The sequence below is a fragment of the Homo sapiens genome, chromosome 2, assembly GCF_000001405.40.
Source record: "Homo sapiens chromosome 2, GRCh38.p14 Primary Assembly".
Lineage (NCBI taxonomy): Eukaryota > Metazoa > Chordata > Mammalia > Primates > Hominidae > Homo > Homo sapiens.
The window spans coordinates 47,367,897-47,392,608 of record NC_000002.12 but is presented as its reverse complement, the minus strand read 5'-3'; the positions used below and the strand labels follow the sequence as shown (position 1 = coordinate 47,392,608).

At 44.0% G+C, this 24,712-nt stretch overlaps 1 protein-coding gene and 1 non-coding gene across 2 annotated transcripts, besides 2 other annotated features; both read right to left on the bottom strand.

Moving 5' to 3' along the window:
• EPCAM (epithelial cell adhesion molecule) lies at window positions 5,589-23,298 on the bottom strand. Its single transcript, NM_002354.3, has 9 exons — window positions 23,028-23,298; window positions 19,039-19,146; window positions 18,561-18,801; window positions 17,310-17,375; window positions 15,532-15,595; window positions 13,555-13,656; window positions 12,640-12,840; window positions 7,399-7,443; window positions 5,589-6,037 (listed from the first exon to the last, which is right to left on the bottom strand). Exons 1-9 carry the CDS (start codon window positions 23,101-23,103, stop codon window positions 5,996-5,998), a joined length of 945 nt encoding a protein of 314 aa, NP_002345.2. The 5' UTR covers window positions 23,104-23,298; the 3' UTR covers window positions 5,589-5,995.
• Window positions 14,839-14,934, bottom strand: MIR559 (microRNA 559). Its single transcript, NR_030286.1, has one exon. It is a non-coding gene; the product is annotated as a microRNA 559 (primary transcript).
• Window positions 22,313-22,988: an enhancer, noted in NCBI's record as "H3K27ac-H3K4me1 hESC enhancer chr2:47596760-47597435 (GRCh37/hg19 assembly coordinates)". NCBI's record gives its function as "activates a minimal SCP1, AML or CMV promoter by ChIP-STARR-seq in naive and primed H9 embryonic stem cells {active_cell/tissue: H9 hESC(naive and primed)}" and the evidence as "EXISTENCE:reporter gene assay evidence [ECO:0000049][PMID:30033119]".
• Window positions 22,989-23,665: an enhancer, noted in NCBI's record as "H3K27ac-H3K4me1 hESC enhancer chr2:47596083-47596759 (GRCh37/hg19 assembly coordinates)". NCBI's record gives its function as "activates a minimal SCP1, AML or CMV promoter by ChIP-STARR-seq in primed H9 embryonic stem cells {active_cell/tissue: H9 hESC(primed)}" and the evidence as "EXISTENCE:reporter gene assay evidence [ECO:0000049][PMID:30033119]".

Here is a 24,712-nt window from a genome sequence, read left to right as displayed (position 1 = left end):
CCATTAAGTCATTTTTTGAGAAAGCTCTTTGGTTGGTTGACGTGGGGAACGGAAACTCTATATAGGTTGAACAGTTCATTCTGAAAGCAGAATGGGCTAGTTCCCTTCTAAAGTTTGATAAGAAAGGGGCCGGGCATAGTGGCTCATGCCTGTAATCCCAGCTCTTTGGGAGGCCGAGGTGGGTGGATCATCTGAGGTCAGAAGTTCAAGACCAGCCTGGCCAACATGGCAAAACCCCATCTCTACTAAAATACAAAAAAAATGGCCAGACTTGGTGGTGGGTTCCTGTAGTCCCAGTTACTTGGGAGGCTGAGTTAGGAGGGTGGCTTAAGCCTGGGACGCAGAGTGATACAGAATGGCTGGGCTACTGGCCAAACCCCACCCCTAAGGCCTGGAACCATGGCCCTAAGTGAAAACAGCTGACCCCATTTTTCTGCCCAATGTTACCTTTTTGGCCTGCCATGCCCCTATCCTGTGCCCATAATGACTTCAGCTGGCAGAGCAACATAAGCGCCTGGGCAGCGAGCAGAGAAGCTACTGAGTGTCAGAGACTGCAGACGCAGCTAACTTCGGAGGGTACCTCCTGCACCATCCCCATTCTAGCTGCCATCCCACTGAGGGCCATTTCCATCACCCAGTAAAATCCTCCACATACACTACCCCTTCAATCCATTCATTTGTCCTGATTCTTCCTGGATGCCAGACAAGAACCCGGGTGCCAAGAGGGCAGGGGCTTGGATGCTGCTGCCAGGGCTGTACAGAGCCTGCTCCTGCCAGAGAGGACCGACCAACCAGTTCCAGCATTCGCTCACTCTGGTTCCCACACTGCTTGCTCACACATTTCCTCTTCCAAAAAGTGGCCAGCAGTGGGCTGAAAGGAGCCACTCCAGTTCCTGCCCACGAAGGGGGTCAAGGTCAAGGGAATTATCCCATCTCAGGAGGTTGCCATAAGCCAAGATTGCGCCACTGCACTCCAGCCTGGGCGACAGGCTGAGACCCCATTTCAAAAATAAATAAAAAATAAAGTTTGATAAGAAGGAAAAAGAGATGGCAATGGTAGCTTGTTAGAGGGCTAAGATCAGTGGGAATTTTTATTTTTATTTTTTTAGAGATGGTGCATCTTGTCATGTTGCTCAGGTGGTCTAGAACTCCTGGCCTCAAGCAGTCCTCTCACCTCAGCCTCCCAAAGTGCTAGGATTACAGACTTGAGCTGCCACACCCCGCCTTCAGTGGGAATTTTTTTTCTTTGAGACGGAGTCTTGCTCTGTCGCCCAGGCTGGAGTGTGATGGCGTGATCTTGGCTCATCGCAACTTCCACCTCCCAGGTTCAAGCAATTCTCCTGCCTCTGCCTCCTGAGTAGCTGGGATTACAGGCATGCACCACCATGCCCAGCTAATTTTTTGTATTTTTAGTAGAGACGGGGTTTCTCCATGTTGGTCAGGCTGGTCTCAAACTCCTGACCTCAGGTGATCCGCTGGCCTCGGCCTCCAAAGTGCTGGGACTACAGGCGTGAGCCATAGCACCCAGCCTTCAGTGGGAATTTTTAATGAGGGAGGGGGAACATGTCTTAGGATGATAGGAAAGAATTGGGAAAGTGTATCTACCAAAAGTGCTGTGAGTGTTGATAGTAGAAAAAGATGAGGTTAAAGTGGTGAAAGGATTTGTAAAAGAAGATCTTCTGCTAGGCCTTGACTAAGCAGAGGGTTTCCCAAGCCTAAGAAAGAACATAAGCAAAGGCAGGATAGAACCCAAGTCAAGGTATAAAAGGACAGAGGGGCCAGGCACAGTGGCTCACGCCTGTAATCCTAACACTTCAGTATTGCATCCTCCAAGGTAGGAGGATGGTTTGTGTCCAGGAGTTCGAGACTCCTGGGCAACACAGTGAGACCCTGTCTCTACAAAAAAATTATAAAATTATTTCAGCCTGGCCAACATGGTGAAACCCTATCTCTACTAAAAATACAACAAATTAGCTGGGTGTGGTGGAGGGCGCCTGTAATCCCAGCTACTCAGGAGGCTGAGGCTCAAGAATCGCTTGAACCCAGAAGGCAGAGGTTGCAGCGAGCCAAGATTGCACCACTGCACTCCAGCCTGGGCTACAGAGCAAGACTCTGACTCAAAAAAAAAAAAAAAAAAATTTAAAAAATTAGCCAGGCGTGGTGGTGCACACCTGTGATCCTACATATACTCAGAAGGCTGAGGCGGGAGGATCACTTCAGCCCTGAAGGTAGAGGTTGCAGTGAGCTGTGTTTGTGCCACTGCACTCCAGACTGGGCAAGAGACCAAGACCTGTCCAGGGAAAAAAAGAAAAAAAGAAGGGAAGAAAGGAAGATAGGGAGGGAGGGAGGGAGGGAGGGAGGAAGGAAGGAAGGAAGGAAGGAAGCAAGGAAAGAAGGAACATTGGAGGAATGGGAAGGGAAATCTTAAATGCAGGAAAATTTGATGTATTGGAGGTACAGTGAGAAATAAGGTAGACTGTGACTAGATTTTAGTTATTCTGGGAATGACGTTGGGAAAGGATTGAGAGTGGGGAGAATTTGGTATTGGGAAAGTCGGAAATTAAATTAATCCAGGCATGTGATAAAGCTCTGGAGCAGGGTATTGGCAATGGGAGGGGAGAGGAATCAGCAGCCAAGGGAGGCCAAGCAGAGCAACCACAGCTGGATGGCCACAGGGTCATGTAGGGCAGAGATGACCAAGGGCTGGGATGCCACCACTGCAACATGCCTATAACTGCCATTGGTCACATGCCACCACTGCCCATGGGTGTTTTCTCAACTGTTCTTACTTCTTTCCATCACAAGATTCCAAGTACTATGTGGGGGTGCCTGTGCCCTGGATGCTGAGAGCCATGAGAGGATCTCTGCCCTTAAACTTCTAAAGAGGGAGGTAGAGACCTGGCTCTTACAAAACATGCAGACAATTCTTCCCAAATTGCAGAGGAAATGGGATGCCAGACAGACAAAAGGAGAAAAGGTTCACACTACAGGGCCACACTGAAAGGCTTTATATATGCCCCTCTGGCAGGGGAAAGGGGTACATCTTATGTTGTAAAAAAGTGCTGTGATCAACTTTAGGCAAATAATCCTGGGAGCAATATGAGGTTTGGGCTGGAGAGGGAGTAGATTGTTTATAAAGAGACCAGGGAAAGTGTGTAAGAGAAGGCAGATTAGAGGAGCATTTGTTTCTCGGGGAGGATCACAGGCTCTGGTGACTAAAACAATGGAGGAAGTAAAAGAGAAGGAATTTGGGACTTGGTTCATGGCAATGCCATCAATTGATTCTGAGAATACAAGCCATAAAATATGTTTGTGGATGAAGATGATCAAATCATTAAAAACTAGTTATGTGAAATATACATACTTTACTATAGATCTCAGGAAAAAAGAACAGAAATGGAGATGGTGCTTCTGTTCTCATTGAGCCTCACAGAAGGTAATAAAGGCAAGAAAGTGGATGAAATCCTCCAGGAAGAAAAAGGGAGGAAAAATAGAACTAAGGACAAATCCTGGGAACATCAGTATTACACAATCAGTAGAAGAGGGAAAAAATCAGGAGAGATTCATACCAGTGAAGCCAAAGGAAAAAAAAGAAAACACAGTGGGGTAGAGAATGGGGAAGTCATCCTGGTGACAGGCTGCAGAGAAAGCAAATGATTCAACACCGGGGGAAGAGGATCACTAGCAATTAGCAGGTCAGTGTTGACCTTAGCGAAAGTAGCTTCAGAAGAGACAGGACAGCGTCTAGAAGGCAATGGGTTGAAGAGTGTGCCAGTTATTAACTTATTGCCTCTTAGTTCAAATTCAGGCCAGGTGAATCACCTGAAGTCAGGAGTTCAAGACCAGCCTGGGCCAACAAGGTGAAACCCCGTCTCTACTAAAAATACAAAAAAAAATTTTAGCCAAGTATAGTGGTGGGTGCCTATAATCTCAGCTACTTGGGAGGCTGAGGCAGGAGAATCACTTGAACCTGGGAGGTGGAGGTTGCAGTGAGCTGAGATCATGCCATTGCACTCCAGCCTGGGAGACAAGAGTGAAAACTCCGTCTCAAAAAAAAAAAAACAAAACCACACACACAAACCTAAAAAACAAATTCACCCTTTGCACCTCTCTGTGAAAATGGATCTGAAGCTCTGTCAGCAGAGGGTGCTAGAGAGGCACTGAAAAGGAAGGTTTTGTTTCCTAGCTCTGGTGTCCTGGCTTGACAGGCTCCTGCAGCATCCAGGGCTGCTCCATGATCTGGCTCTTGCAGCATGGGGTGGCTTCTCCAGGACGCTTCTGGGCCTGCAGTGGACAGCAGCCAGCAGCCTCCCTGAGCATCTGTTCCATACCCCACCTGCTGGGGCAATATTATAGGCTGCTTTCCATGTCTGCTGAGACACCTACCTAGGAATAGCTTTCCCCCAGCATCCTAGAGCAGGGGTCAGCAAACATTTCCAATAAACATTTTAGACTCTGTGGGTCATTGGGTCTGTCACAACTACAATTGACCCTGAACATGGGTTTGAATTGTGCGGGTATATTTGAACACATTTTTTTTCAATAAAAGTTACACCCAGTGTGCACCTGCCTCCCTTCTACCTCCTCCACCTCTTCTGCCTCTGCGACCCAGAGACAGCAAGACCAACCCTTCCTCTTCCTCAGCCTACTCAAAGTGAAAACTATGAGGATCAAGACCTTTATGATGATCCACTTCCACTTAACAAAGAGTAAATAGGACCAGGCATGGTGGCTCACACATGTAATCCCAGCACTTTGGGAGACCAAGGTGGGTGGATCACTTGAGGTCAGGAGTTCGAGATCAGCCTGGCCAACATGGCGAAACTCTGTCTCTACTACAAATACAAAAATAATCCGGGCATGGTGGTGCACATCTGTAGTCCCAGCTACTTGGGAAGCTGAGGCAGGAGAATTGCTTGAACCCAGGAGGCAGAAGTTGCAGTGAGCTGAGATTGTGCCACTGCACTCCAGCCTGGGCAACAGAGTTAGGCTCTGTCTCACCCCCCCAAAAAAAAAAAAAGAAAAAAAGAAAAGAAAAAAGAAAAAGAAACCTTTTCTCTACTAAAAATACAAAAATTAGCCGGGCATGGTAGTGGGAGCCTGTAATCCTAGCTACTTGGTAGGCTGAGGCAGGAGAATCGCTTGAATCCTGCAGTGAGCTGAGATCGCACCACTACACTCCAGCCTAGGCCACAGAGCAAGATCCTGTCTCAAAAAAAAAAAGAAAAAACAAAACAAAAAGAAAAAAAGAGGCCGGGCGCGGTGGCTCACGCCTGTAACCCCAGCACTATGGGAGGTAGAGGTGGGTGGATCGTGAGGTCAGGAGTTCGAGACTAGCGTGGCCAATATGGTGAAACTTTGTCTCTACTAAAAATACAAAAATTAGCCAGGAATGGTGGTGGGCGCCTGTAGTCAGCTACTCGGGAGGCTGAGGCAGAAGAATCGCTTGAACCTAGGAGGCAGAAGTTGCAGTGAGCCGAGATTGTGCCACTGCACTCCAGCCTGGCAACAGAGTGGGACTCCATCTCAAAAAAAAAAAAAAAAGAAAAGAAAAAGAAGAAGAAATTTGAAATGTCAAAGTTAAGAAATTCAGTTTAAAATGTTTTATTTCATAGCTCATAAAAAAGTATGTATGTACAAGACTCAAGTAAATAGAAAGGCAGCTTTCAATCACAAATCAGTTTTTCAGATTTTACTGTGGAAGCATATTTAATGCACACATTTGAATGTTACACATAAATAATTTTAACGATGGAGTCCAAGTTCTGGATTTTACATTAGATCTGCATATATAAGACACTTGTGGTCAAATTTCAAGATTGGTAAAGCCAGTTTCAAGCTGCTTATATTTTGAGTACAGGTTTCACTATTACAAATATATGATGTTAAACTAACAAACTCATGACCTTCAAAGATGTCTTCGTCCCACGCACACACATTTGTAATTTGTGTCCATTTGCTATTTCCCTTCTTCTATAATCTTCAAATTATATAGTTATGCATTGAGTTCCCTATGCATCTCACCCATCTCCTTTATCTGAAACAGGAAAAAGCACAGAAAAAAATTCTAAATAATTTTTCAATCTTTTGTTCATTCTGAAAATAGTATTAAATAAAAATGAAATTAAAGGAACACAAGATAATTTTTTCCCACATTTATAAGACTTATTTAAATAAAAAAAGAAAAAGTTATATTGCAAGGAAACACACATTTAAGTGTTTTCAAGGTTCTATTTAGAGACAAGATCGCCAAAGTGACTAGGGCAAGTTGGAGGTAAGCTAGATCATTAAGAATAAGATTTTTATTAAATGCATACTATTTTTAATGCTAGAAAAAATTGATTTACTTTCTATTATCAATCTTTCATTTTACATGTGGGGAAACTCAAGTTCAAAATTAGTGTTTGTCTCAGATCACACAACTAGTTACAGGCAAACTGAGACAATGATAATGACAACTACCACTCTGTTGACAAATATTTTCTTATGTGGCAAGCATGGGACCAACACTTTACACTGATTATGTTTAATCCTTGCAACAGGTCCATACTATCTATTATCCTCATTTTACAGATGAGGAAACATGGAGGCTTAAAGAAGTTATATAATTTTGCCCAGCCAAACCCAGGTCTGTACTGCTCTGCACTGCAACACTACATTGTCATTCTGCCTGTCTGTTACCATTCAATTCAGGGTTAGTCTTCTAGACTTGCGGTCACCAAACCAAATAAACCAGATGACCTACTACAGAATGGGAAAAAAATGCTAGAACTTTCTGGTTCCATTAGACTTTTTCCAATATTCCTTTACGTTTCTATTTTTATTACTTGCTAAAATATTAGTAAGTGGCCCACATACAACTACAAAGACACACAAAAATTGAGATATGTGAAAAATGTTATTGATAGGGTTCAAGGATAAGTGTTCATATTCAATTCCAAGGGACTGAAACACACTAACAATCTGACACTTTGATGTCACACTAGTATAGACTAGTTAGTACACAATAGATTATGACAAATTAAGTTCATATTAAATGATTATTTCACTGGCATAGAGATAATAAATCAGATCATCAGTCACAATGAGTTTCTCCAAGGTGAATCCACTGGAGTATGCCTTCAGAAGATTCTGTTAGATGTTGACTCTTTGTAGAATAAAAACCATAGGCTTCCCATTCCACTCTTCTATGAGGCAGAAAACAGATGGTGATCTGCCATGGAACTCACGCAAGAATATTTAGGTAAGAGTACATTCTAAGACTGTCCCTAAGACCCTAAAGACAACAGTATAAAGGGACTCCAGTATAACTGAAATGCATCAGTGTGTAGGAAGGTAGAGTGATTAGGAGTAAGAGATTCAACAGGGCCTTTCTATTTAGGTAAGTAATCCATTTACCTCAGCCTTCTCATACTTTGCCATTCTCTTCTTTCTGGAAATAACCTGAGTGGAAGAAAGACAACTATTGTTTTAGGACTGCTATTCAAAAAAAGATTATCTAAACAGACATATATGCTTTTAATGGACATAATTTTGATCTGAAAAAAAACTAATTTTAACATCTATCCATAAACATTTATTGCTTCTTAAATTAAAAATTTCACACCAGTGGAGTGGCTCATGCCTGTAATCCCGGCACTTTGGGAGGCCGAAGCGGGAAGATCATCTGAGGTCAGGAGTTTCAGACCAGCCCAGCCAACACGGTGAAACCCCATCTCTACTACAAATACAAAAATTAGCCAGGTGTCATGGCACGCACCTGTAGTCCCAGCTACTCAGGAGGCTAAGGCACCAGAATTGCTTGAACCCAGGAGGCAGAGGTTGCAGTGAGTGGAGATGGCATCACTGCTCTCCAGCCTGGGCTACAGAGTAAGACCCTGTCTCTTAAAAATAAATAAGGTGGGCTGGGCGTGGTGGCTCACCGGTACTTTGTGGGGCCGAGGTGGGCGGATCACTTGAGGTCAGGAGGTCAAGACCAGCCTGGCCAACATGATGAAACCCCCCGACTCTACTAAAAAAACAAAAAAATTAGCCAGGCGCGGTGGTGGTCGCCTGTAATCCCAGCTACTTGGGAGACTGAAGCAGGAAAATCACTTGAACCCGAGAGGCAGAGGTTGCAGTGAGCCGAGATGGCGCCATTGCACTCCAGCCTGGGCGACAGAGTGGGACTCCATCTCTAAAAAAAAATTAAAATAAAATAAAATAGGTCAGGCATGATGGCTCATGCCTGTAATCTTACCACTTTCAGAGGCTGAGGTGGGTGGATCACTTTAGGTCAGGAGTTCAAGACCAGCCTGGCCAATATTGTGAAACCTCATCTCTACTAAAGATACAAAAATTAGCCAGGCGTGGTGGCAGGCGCCTGTAATCCCATCTACTCGGGAGGCTGAGGCAGGAGAATAGCTTGAACCTGGGGGGCAGAGGTTGCAGTGAGCCAAGATCATGCACCATTGCACTCCAGCCTGGGCAACAGAAGGAGACTCTGTCTCCATAAATAAATAAAATAAAATAAAAACTTTCACTACTAAACAAAAAAAAGTCTACCACGACAAGTGAAACAAACAAACAAAAATCAAAATCAAAAACAATGCTGGATCCAATGGGACAACAGAAAAGAAAGAGAAAGAAAAAAAGGAAACAATGAATAATCTTTAAAGAAATTTAACAGTTTAGGCCAGGCATGGTGGTTCACGCCTATAATCACAGCACTTTGGGAGGCCGAAGTGAGCAGATCACCTGACATCAGGATTTCGAGATCAGCCTGGCCAACATGGTGAAACCCTATCTCTACTAGAAATACAAAAAAATTAGCCAGGTATGGTGGTGCACGCCTGTAGTCCCAGCTACTTGGGAAGCTGAGGCAAGAAAATGGCTTGAACCTGGGAGATGGAGGTTGCAGTGAGCCGAGATCGTGCCACTGCACTCCAGCCTGGGCAACAGAGCAAGACTCCATCTCAAAAAAAAAAAAAAAAAAAAAAAAAAAAAAAAAAAAAAAAAAAAAGAAGAAGCCGGGCACAGTGGCTCATGCCTGTAATCCTAGCACTTTGAGAGGCCGAGGCAGGCGGATCACGAGGTGATGAGTTCGAGACCAGCCTGGCCAATATGGTGAAACCCTGTCTCTACCAAAAAATACAAAAATTAGCTGGACATGGTGGCTTCTGCATGTAGTCCCGGCTACTCGGGAGGGTGAGGCAGGAGAATCAATTGAACCCGGCAGGTGGAGGCTGCAGTGAGCCGAGATCATGACACTGCACTCCAGCCAGGGCAACACAGAGAGACTCCTTTTCTTTTTTTTTTTTTTTTCAGATGGAGTCTCGCTCTGTCACCCAGGCTGGAGTGCAGTGGTGCAATCTCGGCTCACTGCAAGCTCCGCCTCCCAGGTTCACGCCATTCTCCTGCCTCAGCCTCCCAAGTAGCTGGGATTACAGGTGCCCGCCACCACACCTGGCTAATTTTTTGTATTTTTAGTAGAGACAGGGTTTCACCGTGTTAGCCAGGATGGCCTCGATCTCCTGACCTCGTGACCCAGCTGCCTTGGCCTCCCAAAGTGCTGGGATTACAGCAGTGAGCCACCACGTCCGGCCAGCGAGACTCCATTCCAAAAAAAAAAAAGAAAGAAATTTAACAGTTTGGTGTGCATTCTTCCACATCCTCCTTTTCCACACTAATACAAATATCATATATAAACACATGCATCTAAGTTTTGGGGTCTAAAAATGGGACCATGCAGTATCATCACCACCTGTGCACAGCTTGTATCAACATCATAGCAACCATTCCAGATCCAAAGATAAAGATCGAACTCATTCACCATTCACATTATTCCCTATCGTAGATACAATAAACATAATTTACTCTCTTACTGATACACACTCAGGCTATTTTCCAGATTCACTTTTGTTGTTGTTTTTATTCATTTTTTGAGACAGAGTTTTGCTCTCGTTGCCCAGGCTGGAGTGCAATGACATGATCTCGGCTCACTACAACCTCTGCCTCCTGGGTTCAAGTGACTCTCCTGCCTCAGCCTCCTGAGTAGCCAGAATGACAGGCATGCACCACCATGCCTGGCTCATTTTGTATTTTTAGTAGAGACGGGGTTTCTCCGTGTTGGTCAGGCTGGTCTCGGACTCCCAGCCTCAGGTGATCTGCCCACCTCAGCCTCCCAAAGTGCTGGGATTATAGGCGTAAGCCACCACGCCTGGCCAGATTCACCTTTACAAGCAATGCTATGATACAATAACAATGTGCTTCCTTATTGCACTTGTGTTTTCATTTATTTCTACAGAACAATTAGACTTCCAGCATTAACCACTTGTGTTCATTTGCCATCTGAAATTTCTATTAACTGTCTATCCCTACCTGTTGTCATTCTTTCTTTAGGTTTCCTCATCAATTTGTAAGAACTCTTTGTATATTATGTATAATATCCATTTTTGCTTTATGCGCCATATTTTTTTCATGCCCATCGTTATTTTTTACTTTACAGTTTCTTTGCCATATAAAATGCTTAATTTTAATGAAGCCAAAATATATATATATAGGACTAGGTGCAATGGCTCATGCCTGTAATCCCAGCAGTTTGGGAGGCTAAGCCAAAAGAACTGCTTGAGCCTAGGAGTTCAAGCCCAGCCTCGGCAGCCATAGCAAGAATTCGTCTCTACTAAAAATTAAAAAATTAGCCAGGTATAGTGGCACATACCTGTAGTCCTTGCTACTTGGGAGGATAGGTCAGGAGGATTACTTAAGTCCAGGAATTGGAGGTTGCAGTGAGTTATGATCATGCTACTGCACTCCAGCCTGGGTGACACAGCAAGACCCTCTCTCAAAATATACATACACATATATGTATCTTTTCTTTCATGGATTCCAGATTTCTTGCCTTACATAATTTCCCCTACCACAAGGTTGTACAAACATTCCCTCAATTAATTTTCTTGGGAGTTTACTTTTTTGTATTTTTAAATATGTAAATGTCTTTGAAAATGGATACACTGCCCAACGCCTTTCCTACTACTGTGCTCTGGACATGCCACCCTCACACAGCTGGGCAATATGGCCAGCCTGGTGGAGTGAAATAGGAATTCAACTTTCATTTTGTTCCAGATGGATAGCCAAACATGGTTGATTGAACTGGAAATCTAAGTTCCTAAATACCCTCAAACCTCTTTCTGAATTCTGTTGTGTTAGTAAGATTTCTTTTTTTTTTTTTTTTTTTTGAGACGGAGTTTCACTCTTGTTGCTCAGGCTGGAGTGCAATGGCATGATCTCAGCTGCAACCTCCACCTCCTGGGTTCAAGTGATTCTCCTGCCTCAGCCTCCTGAGTAGCTGGGATTACAGGCATGAGACACCATGCCCGGATAATTTTGTATTTTTAGTAGAGATGGGGTTTCTCCACGTTGGTCAGGCTGGTCTCGAACTCCCGACCTCGGGTGATCCACCCGCCTCAGCCTCCCAAAGTGCTGGGATTACAGGCATGAGCCACTGTGCCTGGCCTTTTTTTTTTTTTTTTTTTTTTTTTTTTTGAGACAGAGTCTTGCTCTGTCACCCAGATTAGAGTGCAGTGGCATGATCTTGGCGCACTACAACCTCTGCTTCCCAGGTTCAAGCTATTCTCCTGCCTCAGCCTCCCGAATAGATTACAGGCATGTGCCACCACGCCCAGCTAATTTTTTTGTATGTTCAGTAGAGACAGGGTTTCACCATGTTGGCCAGGCTGGTCTCGAACTTCTGATCTCAAGTGATCTACCCGCCTCAGCCTTCCAAAGTGCTGCGATTACAGGCCTGAGCCATCACACCTGGCCAGTGTTAGTAAGATTTCTTGATACCGAAGCATCCTTACATTCCTAAAATAAACCTTTCACTTCTTCAAGCAATACATTCTTTTGCTGAAGCACTGTTAAATTCAATTTGCTCATCTTTACTTGGAAGTATTGATTCACATATCACTTTTAACTCTTTTGTATGGCTAACGTTAACTTTGTGTTCTGTTGTTCCATCTTATTGAGTGGTTTGGGGGTTCAGGTATTTTGCACTAGGTGTTGAATTGTTTGCAGTGACAACTGAAAGACGCTTGCTGCTAGATGGCAATTTAACTGGCCTGTGAGGTGCACAGCCACAAGCTTTTTAATATTAGCATCCTTTCTTGCTTCATAAAATGACTTTTGTAAAAAGAGACCAGAGATACAATAGATTCATTCACCATAAAAAAATTATTTAAAAATGAAGATTTTTTTCCCTGAATGTTTTGGAATATGGATGTTACTTTTTCATATTTCCTTTTTTCTTCTTTTTGAGACAGGGTCCTGCTGTGTTGCCCAGGCTGGAGTGCAGTGGTGTGATCATGGCTCACTGCAGCTTTGACCTCCTGGACTCAACTGACCACTCCCACATCAGCCTCCTAAGTAGATGGGACCACAGGTGCAAGCCATCACATCTGACTAATTTTTGTATTTTTACTACAGATAAGGTTTCACCATGTTGCCCAGTGTGGTCTCAAACTCCTGGGCTCAAGTGATCCACCTGTCTCAGCCTCCCAAAGTGTAGGGATAACAGGTGTGGTGAGCCACCGCGCCCAGCCACTATTACTTTTTCTTGAAAAAATATACCCTTAAATGAAATTTTACTTGTTCTGTACTCACCAGCACAACAATTCCAGCAACAACTGCTATCACCACAACCACAATAACAGCAATAACACCAGCTTTTAGACCCTGCATTGAGAATTCAGGTGCTTTTTCATCAACATAATAAATTAAAGTTTGACCAGGATCCAGATCCAGTTGTTCCCCATTTACTGTCAGGTCCATTTTCTTAGAATGAAACAAGGATTCACCTTTAACCTGTATTGAAAAGGAGAAAAGGAATTAAAAATATTTAAGGAAACCAACCATGGCCACATATAATTACATACAAATTGTATGCCAAAAGAACCGCTGCCAAGAATCTTTATGGTTTTAGTGATAACAATCTAATTTATTGGAACTTTAAAAAACTGTTTATTACAGGAACCTTTCAACATACACGAAAGTAGAAAGAGTAGTGCAATGATGCCCATGTACCTATCACCCAGATGCAAGGCCAACAACACATAGCCTCTCTTACTTCATCTTTTCTTCCTTTCATCCTTTCACCCCCGCCCAGATTATTTTGAAGCAAACCTCATATTTCAGCAGAAAATACCTCACTATAATATATTAAAGTTTCAACAAAATATTTTAATCATATCAGTTACAGTCTTTTTTAACAGACTTTTATTTGTGTAAATTATAAATATCATAGGGGAGCATATATGCACAAACTAAGTAACCACCAAGTAGATAATAAATAAGAATTATAAGAAAGAGGGGAGATATTTTAGGCAGAACAATTTGATAAGAGGCATAAATATACAAACAAGCAAGATGCATGTGAGTGACAGGGAGGACAAAATTAACGGCAGCAGCGAACCATTTGGTTGATCTGTAAGTGGATAAAAAGGTGATGAAATATATTTAATTCATTGAGGCATGATAGACTACATTCCTGAACACAGGAATAAAGAAGATGATACTCACATCTTTTTCAAAATAATAAGCCACATCAGCTATGTCCACATCATTCTGAGTTTTTTGAGAAGAATTTTGAACCAGATCAATAGTGATAACATTATTCTCATACTGGGGAAAAAAATTGAATAATACAAATTAATACTAATATAATCAAAATCATTTGAAAATAACATTAATTGAGAATCAGAATATTCAGTGTTTGATTTTCTATAATCTACATGCATCACTGTTCCTTTCCATTAGTGGATAACTAAGTTTATCACTAATCAAGAAATCTTTGGGAGGTCTCTAAATCTATCAAAGGGAAATAAGACAGCCATGCAACCAAACATAATTACAATGTACAATTTTTCCTAAGAGGATTTTCTTATATTGAAAAGATTTTTAAATAAGATATGAAAGTATTTTATTTGGATTAGAACTACTTTAAAACTAAATTACTAAAGAAATGAAAGGTAAGGCCGGGTGCAGTGGCTCATGCCTGTAATCCCAGCACTTTGGGAGGCTGAGGTGGGCGGATCACCTGAGGTCCGGAGTTCAAGACCAGCCTGACCAACATGGAGAAACCCCATCTCTACTAAAAATACAAAATTAGCCAGGCGTGGTGACACATTGCCTGTAATCCCAGCTACCAGGGAAGCTGAGGCAGGAGAATCGCTTGAACCTGGGAGGCAAAAGTCGTGGTGAGCCGAGATGGCGCCATTGCACTCCAGCCTGGGCAACAAGAGCGAAACTCCGTCTCAAAAAAAAAAAAAAAAAAAGAAAAGAAAAAGAAATGCAAGGTAAAACGCAGCATGCATTTTCCATGTTGTTTTTTTGTTTTGTTTTTGAGACGGAGTCTTGCTGTGTCGCCCAGGCTGGAGTGCAGTGGCACAATCTCAGCTGACTGCAAGCTCCGCCTCTCAGGTTCACGCCATACTCCTGCCTCAAGCCTCCCGAGTAGCTGGGACTACAGGTGCCCACCACCACATTCGGCTATTTTGTATGTTTTTAGTAGAGACAGGGTTTCACTGTGTTAGCCACGATGGTCTCGATCTCCTGATCTTGTGATCCACCTGCCTCGGCCTCCCAAAGTGCTGGGATTACAGGCGTGAGCCACCGTGCCCGGCCATCATTTTGTTTTTAAAGAGTAAAAAAAGTACATTCTTTCTAAAGACTCTTGAATAAATTCATACTACCTTTAAAGAGTTCCGTCACACTATTCAAGCTTCTTTTTATTTTTTAAACCAGAGTTTAAAGAGTTAAGTAAGGGCTAACTAGTTAAGGACTAGTTCCTTAAAGCAGAGAAGATGGGAGCTCCAGTAACATCCTAAAGTAAATATGCACCAAAACTGTATTTACCAAAAGTAATTTTGGTGCATATTTACTTTAAGATGTTACTGGAGCTCATCCACAGGGACAGGTTCTCCAGGATAAGAAAACTCAAATGTTTTAGGGATACTAAGAGATACTACGTTTTCTTTAGGAGTAAAACTAGGCTTTTCAAAGGCTATGGAAGGAAAACAACGATAACCAAAAACAATGGGCCGGGCGTGGTGGCTCACACCTGTAATCCCAACACTTTGAGAGGCTGAGGCAGACAGATCACTTGAGGCCAGGAGTTCGAGACCAGCCTGGCCAACATAGCAAAACCCCGCCGACACTAAAAATACAAAAATTAGCTGGGCATGGTGACATGTGCCTGTAGTCCCAGCTCCTCGGGAGGCTGAGGCATGAGAATTGCTTGAACCTTGGAAGCAGAGGTTACATTGAGCCGAGATCTTGCCATGACACTCCAGCCTGGGGAAGAGAGCAATAGTCTGTCTTAAAGAAACAAACAAACAAAAAAAAACAGTAACAGGAAATTCACATTAAGTACCCAGATCCGAAACTGTTGCTCCAGTAAGTGCATTTAACCACCACTTAAATCACTGGCTGTCCTTATACTCAAAACATACTGTCTCACCAACTGTCTGCTAAAGCTCACTTATTAAAAAATCATACCAAAATACTCGTGATAAATTTTGGATCCAGTTGATAACGCGTTGTGATCTCCTTCTGAAGTGCACTGTAAAGAATTTAAAATCTGTATTAAAAAAAAATGTTTGTACCACACAACAGTAAGAAGCACTACTCTTTAAGCAGACAGCTCAGGGTCTAAAACTGTCATTAAAGTTAAAATTTTTCTGCCATTTTGCAACTATCATAATAATAATTGATTCAGGCTGGAATCATCCATTGATATTCAAACTGCTGGGTACCAGTTTAATTAGAAAAAGAACATTTACTTAGTATCCAAGTATCTGCCCATAGATTATTTATGGATTACAAAGGGAGAATGGTAACTTCACAGTGGAAAAACCTGGTGGATACCACTTTAACCAAAGTTTACTTTACTAGTAAAGGGACAAGCTGACATCATGCAACTCCTAATGTGAAGTATTATAAAGGACACAAGATCGCTTAAGTAGTTTTCCTGTCAAAAATGCATAACCTGCTTTTAGTTAAGAGGGAACATCAAGGCTCGGGTGAGGTGGCTCATGCCTGTAATCCCAGCACTTTGGGATGCTGAGGTGGGCAGATCACCTGAGGTTGGGAGTTCGAGACCAGCCTGACCAACGTGGAGAAACCCCGTGTCTACTAAAAATACAAAAAAAATTAGCCAGGCATGGTGGCGCACGCCTGTAATCCCAGCTACTCAGGAGGCTGAGGCAGGAGAATCGCTTGAATCCGGGAAGCAGAGGTTGCGGTGAGCCGTGATTGCACCATTGCACTCCAGCCTGGGCAACAAAAGGGAAAACTCCAACTCAAAAAAAAAAAAAAAAAAGGAGGAAATATCAGACAAATCAAAATTTGAGGGACATTATATATAATGACTTGCCCATGCTCTTTAAAAATAGCAAGTTCATGGAAGACAAAGAAAGGCCAAGAAACTGTTCGATATTAAGAGACTAAAGAGTCATGACAACTAAATGTGATACATGGATCTTGGACTGGGTCCTGAATCAGAGGGGAAAAATTACTACAAAGGACAATATTGGGAAAATGGGCACAACGTGATATAACGTTAAATTTCCTGGCCGGGCGCGGAAGCTCACACCTGTAATTGCAGCACTTTGGGAGGCAGAGGCGGGAGGATCACAAGTTCAGGAGTTCGAGACCAGCCTGGCCAATATGGTGAAACCCTGTTTCTACTAAAACTACAAAAATTAGCAGGGCGTAGTGGCAGGCACCTGTAGTCCCAGCTACTTGGAAGGCTGAGGCAGGAGAATCGCTTGAAACCGGCAGGCGCAGGTTGCAGTGAGCTGAGATCACGCCACTGCACGCCAGCCTGGGTGACAGAGCGAGACTCCGTCTAAAAAAAAAAAAAAAAATTTTTCCTAAATTTGATCGTTGTATAGTGGTTTATATAAAAGAATGCCTTTTGTTCTTAGGAAAACATACACTGAAGTACTTAGGGGTAAAGGGGCCTGATGTCTACAACTTGCTCTCATGTGCTTCTGGGAAAAATATTTATACATGCATAGATACACTGATGTAAAGCACACACACATATTCATCCACACATACACATATAAAAAGCAAATGTGCCAAAATGTTAATTGGTGAATCTGAGTGAAGTGTATTCCCAGAATCTCTGTGCTATTCTTGCAACTCTATTTCAAGTAACTTTATTTTTCAGAAATATAAAAAAGCATTTAGACTTGCTTTTTCTAATGGTGTAGGATGGAAGATTTGAGCCACCAACTGTGCAAGAATATGATGCATTTAATTGCACTTACGTCCGCAAACTTTTACTATCATAAGGTTTTTCTCTTGCTTTGTGTTTTAGTTCAATGATGATCCAGCTATAAAGTAAAAAGACAATGTCAGTTGACTATAACTCAGTCTTCCATACTATTTTCCTAATAAGCTAATCCTAAAATTCTCGAATTATAAGGACTAAGAGAAAAAAAATTTATGCAGTAGCTATTCCTATAATTTCTTCCCTTACACATCCTTCATAAAGGACACACCCAGGAGGGAACACCTTTTCTAATATTGACCCTCTGTTCTCTGGACACAATACATAAAGTCACATTAAGTCAAAGTTTAGCTGGCAGTGTCATGCCCTGTTCAACTAAAAAGATGAAAAGGCATGAAAGGCCCGGGCATGGTGGCTCACAACTGTAATCCAACACTTTGGGAGGTGGAGGTGGGTGGATTGCCTGAGGTCAGGAGTTGGAGACCAGCCTGGCCAACATGGTGAAACCCCATCTCTACTAAAATACAAAAATTAGTCAGGTGTGGTATAGCTGTAGTCCCAGCTACTCAGGAGGCTAAGGCAGGAGAGTTGCTTGAACCCGGGAGGCAGAGGTTGCAGTGAGCTGAGATTGTGCCACTGCACTCCAACCTGGGCAACAAGAGTGGAAATTCCATCTCGAAAAAAAAAGAAAAGAAAAGAAAAAAGAAAAAACAAAAGAAAGGGCACAAAGAGAAAACTGACAACGAGGCTCCAGAAGACCAGAACAGAAAAACAAAGTGCCCACTTTGGTCCTGACATCCTTTCCAGTTTCTAGTCCCTTCCAATGAAGTCTTTTTTTGCTTAAGCTAGCTTGAGTGGGTTTCTGTGCCTTTTCATTAAACAATCCCTAAAACAAGCATATCTCACTTTTAAAACACAATCAATAAGCAAATACATAGGTTAAATTACATACATTTACTACTAATGCAACAATGAAATACTGAATAATGTTAAGTAAAGATATAAAAGAAAAATTATACCTAGTATGCTATCATTTATGTAAAAATAATAAAACAGATATATAACAAATTCATCAACTATCTCTGGAAGGTTATAGAATAATCAATAACATCAATTCTGTGGAGGTCCAATGGGTAGCGAGGGGGACTGGAATGAGAAGGAAGCTTTTCACTGGACACTCATATCTTCTGAATTCTAAACCATGAAATCATATTACATAATCAAAAATAAATTTAATTAAATGAATCTGAACAGCATGAAAACAAGTAGTATAGGCAGCCCCACTCACTAGGTTCTCACTCGCTCAGAGCAGGTTATTTCAGTGTCCTTGTCTGTTCTTCTGACCCCAGCAGTGTTCACACACCAGCACATGGAGGTGCCGTTGCACTGCTTGGCCTTAAAGAGCCCGCTCTCATCGCAGTCAGGATCATAAAGCCCATCATTGTTCTGGAGGGCCCCTTCAGGTTTTGCTCTTCTCCCAAGTTTTGAGCCATTCATTTCTGCCTTCATCACCAAACATTTGGCAGCCACTGAAAAAGAAACCTTAATGCCAAACTGAAAAATAACTGATTTCATGATTACGGGAAAAAAAAAATTAACTCTAAAGTTCCAGGGTCAAAGATTATTTGAAATTTATGTGTTCCCACACTTACTTTGTAACATGATTCAGATTTAAGCCAATAAAACTCTTTCCAACTCAAGGCACATCAATTAAAGAAGTATTAAGTCAAAATAAAGCTTACAGGTAATTAGGATATTTTACTCACGCTTTGAGCAAATGACAGTATTTTGTGCACCAACTGAAGTACACTGGCATTGACGATTATTATTCACAAAGCAGTTTACGGCCAGCTTGTAGTTTTCACAGACACATTCTAGAAAATTAAAAAAAAAATCTACTTTAAAATGTGGATCTATTAACTCTCATGTCCCAGCTAAGTTATATTGTAATAATAATGCCTAAAGTTACAAGGACACAAAACCTTAAAAAGTGGTTCTGAATGTTTTATTTTTCAGCTATAGACTACTGCCTAAGTGCCTGGCACTTGCTAAAGTTTGCATACTGTATACAGACACATAGTTTAATCTGCATGCATTCCTGTTTTTTTTTTTTTTTTTTTTTTTTTTTTTTAAAGATAGGGTCTCACTCTGTGGCCCAGGCTGGAATGCAGTGGCACAATCTTGGTTTACTGCAGCATGGACCTACAGGGCTCAAGTGATCCTCCTGTCTCAGCCTCCCAAGTAGCTGGGACTACAGCCATGCACCACCATGCCTGGCTAATTTTTAACTTTTTGTAGATACGGGGTTTCGCCATGTTGCCCAGGCTGGTTTTGAACTCCTGGCCTCAAGCAATCCTCCTGCCTCAGCCTCCCAAAGTGCTGGGATTACAGGCATGAGCCACTGTGCCTGGCCTCCTGTTACAATTTTTTTAAAACAAGAACACAGCTCTCCAAGTATCATTTCTAGCTTTGTCTTTGTGAAACTCCCAGTCTTAGCTCCTTCCACAGTCCTGTCCTGCTAAGTAACATCCCTGTTAGTCACTGCCTTTTTTTGTTTTTCTTCTTGAGACAGAGTCTCACTCTGTCGTGCAGGCTGGATTGCAGTGGTACAATCGCAGCTCACTGCAACATCCATCTCCCAGGATCAAGCGATTCTCCTGCCTCAGCCTCCCAAGTAGCTGGGACTACAGGGGTATGCCACCACACCTGGCTAATTTTTGTATTTTTAGTAGAGACGGGGTTTCAGCATAATGGCCAGGCTGATCTCAAACTCCTGACCTCATGATCCGTCCGCCTCGGCCTACCAAAGTGCTGGGATTACAGGTGTCAGCCACCGCGCCCGGCTTTTTTTTTCTATTTTTAGTAGAGACGGGTTTTCACCATGTTGGTCAGGCTGGTCTAGGACTCCTGACCTCAGGTAACCCACCCACCTCGGCCTCCTAAAGTGCTGGGATTACAGACGTGAGCCACCATGCCCGGCTGTCACCGCCTCTTTTACAAAAAAAAATCAACTATTCCAATTCTAGGATCTGTGAATCCTCACCTTCTCTTGCTCTCCCACCCCATTTTCTTAAATGAGGGATGTTTCCTTTGGGGCTTAACAGGAATATATTCAATCTTTAAACAATTTTATATCTTGGAAAAATTACACTTTCAACTGCAGTTATAGTCCTCCCTTTAAGTGAGTTTCCTAACTAAATTAAATCCTAGTACCTGATAAGGAAAGTGATACTAAGCAGCCCATTCTGTATTATTGATGTCAGTTTAATAGTTTTGTCCTTAACAACCTCAAAAGTTCATTTAACTTCGAATAGGCAAGACTATCTAATTCCTTTTGTCTAGTTAAAAGAGCACAATCATTAAAAACAAAAACTATCTCCTCAGTTCAACTGAAGAGGAAAAAAAAGAAAAAGCTAGCATGACAAACCAGAGTTTTTATATTGATCCTTCGTATCCCAAGTACCCTAAGTTGATTTCAATTTTTCCCTGTTCAAGTTATAGTCGATATGAACCACCTTTAATCTGCCCAACACTAAACTCAATACTGGGGTCACAAAAGGGGAAAATACAGCACTTGTTCTCAAGCGTTTAAATCTTCTGCAGCCCCATCCTGTACTTGTTTAAAACACACTGTTCATACCTAAGGGGCGTAAAATTTAAATCAGACCAGTCAGGTGCAGACTTTCTGAGCACAAACCTGTAGCAGCTATGACCACTTTAAAGCAATTTAACATTAAGTACGTAGTCCCAGATTGAAGCCAGAAAAACATGAGTTGACTAAAACTGCATTACTTTGAGAGTATAATTACTGAATTTAGGCCACTCCATTGGTGAAAGTGTAAAAGCCCTTCCAGAGACCTTTGGCAAACGCCACTCCACTTCTAGGCACCATCTTACAAATAAACCAAGAGATGCCGGACCGGTGGCTCATGCCTGTAATCCCAGCACTTTGGGAGGTCCAAGTAAGAGCATCGCTTGAGCCTGGGAAATGGAGGACGCAGTGACATGTAAATGTGCCACTGCACTCCAGGCTGAACGACAGACGGAGACACTGTTTCCAAAAAAAAGAGAGAGAGAGAGACGGCAGCCAAGTTGTTTATTCCACAGTTAAGAGAAACTGAAATCAAACTACATGTCTAACATTTGAATAACGGTGCAACATACCAGTCACCATTTTAAATCTTGTTTTTAAGGCCGGGTGTGGTGATGCACGCCTGTAATCCCAGCACTCTGGGAGGCCCAGACGGAGTGATCACTTGAGCCCAGGAGTTCGAGACCAGCCTGGGCAACATAGTGAGATGTCGTCTCTACAAATACAAATATTCGGCTGGCACTGTGGCTGACGTCTGTAATCCCAGCACTTTGGGAGGCCAAGGTCGGTGGATCACCTGAGGTCAGGAGTTCGAGACCAGCCTGGCCAACATGGCGAAACCCCTCTCTACAAAAAATACAAATTAGCTGACCGTGGTGGTGCATGCCTGTAGTCCCAGCTACTCGGGAGGCTGAGGCAGGAGAATCGCCTGAATTGCAGTGAGATGAGATCGCGCCGTTGTACTCCAGCCTGGGCAACAAGAGCGAAACTCTGTCTCAAAAATAATAATAATAATAATAAATAATAAATACAAAAATTAGCCAGGCATAAAGGCTGACGCAGAAGGATGGTCTGAGGCCGGGAGGCGTAGTCTACAATGAGTCAAGATCTTGCCATTGCACTCCAGCCTGGGTGACAGAACAAGGCTGTTTCAAATAAAAAAATAAAATAGGCCGGGCACGGTGGCTCACGCCTGTAATCACAGCACTTTGGGAGGCCGAGGCGGGCGGATCACGAGCTCAGGAGTTAGAGACCAGCCTGACCAACATGGAGAAACCCCGTCTCTACTAACAATACAAAAATTAGCGGGGGGTGGTGGCGCGCGCCTGTAATCCCAGCTACTCTACTCAGGAGGCTGAGGCAGGAGAATCACTTGAACCCGGGAGGCGAAAGTTGCAGTGAGCCGAGATCGCGCCATTGCACTCCAGCTTGGGCGACAGAGCAAGACTCAGTCTCAAAAAATTAAATAAATAAATAAAAAGAAAGAAAGATACACCTAATTACTAATTATGGGATTCTCAAAATGCTGGGATTATATGTTTTTACTCTTTACGGTTATTATTTCTGCGTTCCCTACAATAAGCCTGGCATTACTCATATGATCCTTAGAAAAGGGAAAACACCCACACGCCCTGTGTGGTCCGGGCCGCCTGCCGCGCGCAGGTGCATAGCGGCCCTGGAGGCCTCCCTGCGGGCGCCTGTCCCCGCCTGAGGCCCACATCCGGGGCCCGCTGCAAGGACAAGGGCGAGCCCGCTGGTCCCTGTCGTAAAGACTCCGCCACCGGCTGGGGCTGTTTTGGAACCCCAAGTCCACCCCGAACCGAGGACGTGGGTGCGCCAGGGCGCGAGGCACCGGTTCGGTGGCCGCAGGAAACCTGGACGTGGCCACTCCGTTCCCTGCCTGTCCCCCGCCTCCGCCCAAGGCCATTTCCCTACCAAGGCGAGCAAAGCTGCGAAGTGAGGCTGCTCCCCGGGACGGCCCTCGCCGTTTCCTACCGCGCGGAGGGCCTGAGCCGGAGCACGGCCGCACCGTCCGGTCTCCACGCTGGAAAGCGCGGCCTCTTGGTCCCCTCCCTATTATGCCCGTTTCGGGGGCCGAGGGCCGGGGGCCGCTGCCCCCCAGCCCAGCCCAGCTCCACAACTCTGCTCCAATCCGCGCCTCACCTTCCTGAGCTGCGGCAAAAGTCGCCGTCGCCGCGGCAAGCAGAAGCCCGAACGCGAGGACCTGCGGGGGCGCCATGCTGCGCGCGCGCCGAGAAGAGGGGCGCGGGAGGGGCCCGGGACTCGCGGGAGGGCGTGCGCCGGGAGTGGGACACGAGGAGCCGGCCGGGCAGCGCGAGGCCTGGGGCACGCGGGTCCGCGTCGGGAGGACAGCGACGAGGGGGTCCCCGGACCGCGTCGAAGGTGCTCGCTCGCCGAAGGACTAGCGCTCTGTGCGCGCGGCGGGGCGGAGCGCACACCTGCCCGACCTGGCGGCCCCGCCTCTCGGCCCCTTCCCGGGACTGCTCACCTCTGGCCGCTGGTGCTCGTTGATGAGTCACCGCCCGGGAGTTGGGGGAGTGAGTAGGCTCCCCTCCCCCAGCCCCGGCGCTGCAGTTGGGGCGCGGCCCTCTCCACAGGTGTGGGCCCGCGCGCCCCGCTCCGCCCCGCCCCAGGTGCTTCGTCTCCATGGCGGCGTTAGGGATCTTTGGTGGCCTCCGAGGAGGTTTGAAGATTCTGTGCTGAGACTTCCTTTTAACCGGAGGAGCGCTGCTCTGAAGCCTTGAAGAATGGGGCCTGGGGGGAAGGGTGCGGGAACTGGATAGAGGAACGTGGAGGCTAAAGGAAATACAAACACAGGCAGAGAACCTTCCAGAACACTATAAAAAAGACCTTTGAGCTTTTACCTGGCAATTTAATTATACTCCTTTGAAATTAGAAAGAAAAAAAAAAGAAAGAAGAGGAAAGAAGAAATCTTGGCTCTCTTGGGAAGAAAATGAGTGTTTCTTTATAATTACTCTTAATAATTCTTTTTTCGTTTTCATAAGCATTTCTAGCACTTGAAGATGTAAGAAAAGGTGTTCCCAGGCTGAGCGCGGTGGCTCACGCCTGTAATCCTAGCACTTTGGGAGGCCGAGGCGGGCGGATCACCTGAGGTTTGAAGTTCGAGACCAGCCTGACCAACATGGAGGAACGCCGTCTCTACTAAAAGATACAAAATTAGCCGGGCGTGGTGGCGCATGCCTGTAATCCCAGCTACTGGGGAGGCTGAGGTTGCAGTGAGCAGAGATCGTGCCATTACACTCCAGCCTGGGCGACAGGAGCAAGACTCCGTCTCAAAAAAAAAAAAAAAGAGAGAAAAGAAAAGGTGTTCCCATAGAGCCAAATACTGAGAACCGAGATGATTTCGGGTTTTGGTTACTATTAAAGAACCAAAATGTTGATGACGCCTTCGGAAAGAAAATATAGGGAAATAGAAAGAAAGGACAGTAATCGATTTCCGTGCAGATGAATTCAAATCACAACACACTATATTATTACAATATTAAAATAATTATAAATACTTCATATATATACTATTTAGTGTTTTTAAATGTTATTTTTTGTTAGCTGTAATATCATTGTAACCTATTTTTTAAAAGCTTTTTATCCACTAAAGAAATCATAAAAGTAAGAGTTAAAAAGAGGAAAGGAGGCTGGGCACGGTGGCTCATGCTTGTAATCCCAGCACCTTGCTGGGGGCACAGGTGGGCAGATCCGAGGTCAGGAGTTCGAGACCATCCTGGCCAACATGGTGAAACCCATCTCAACTAAAAATACAAAAAGTAGCCAGGTGTGGTGGCAGGCACCTGTAATCCCAGCTACTCAGG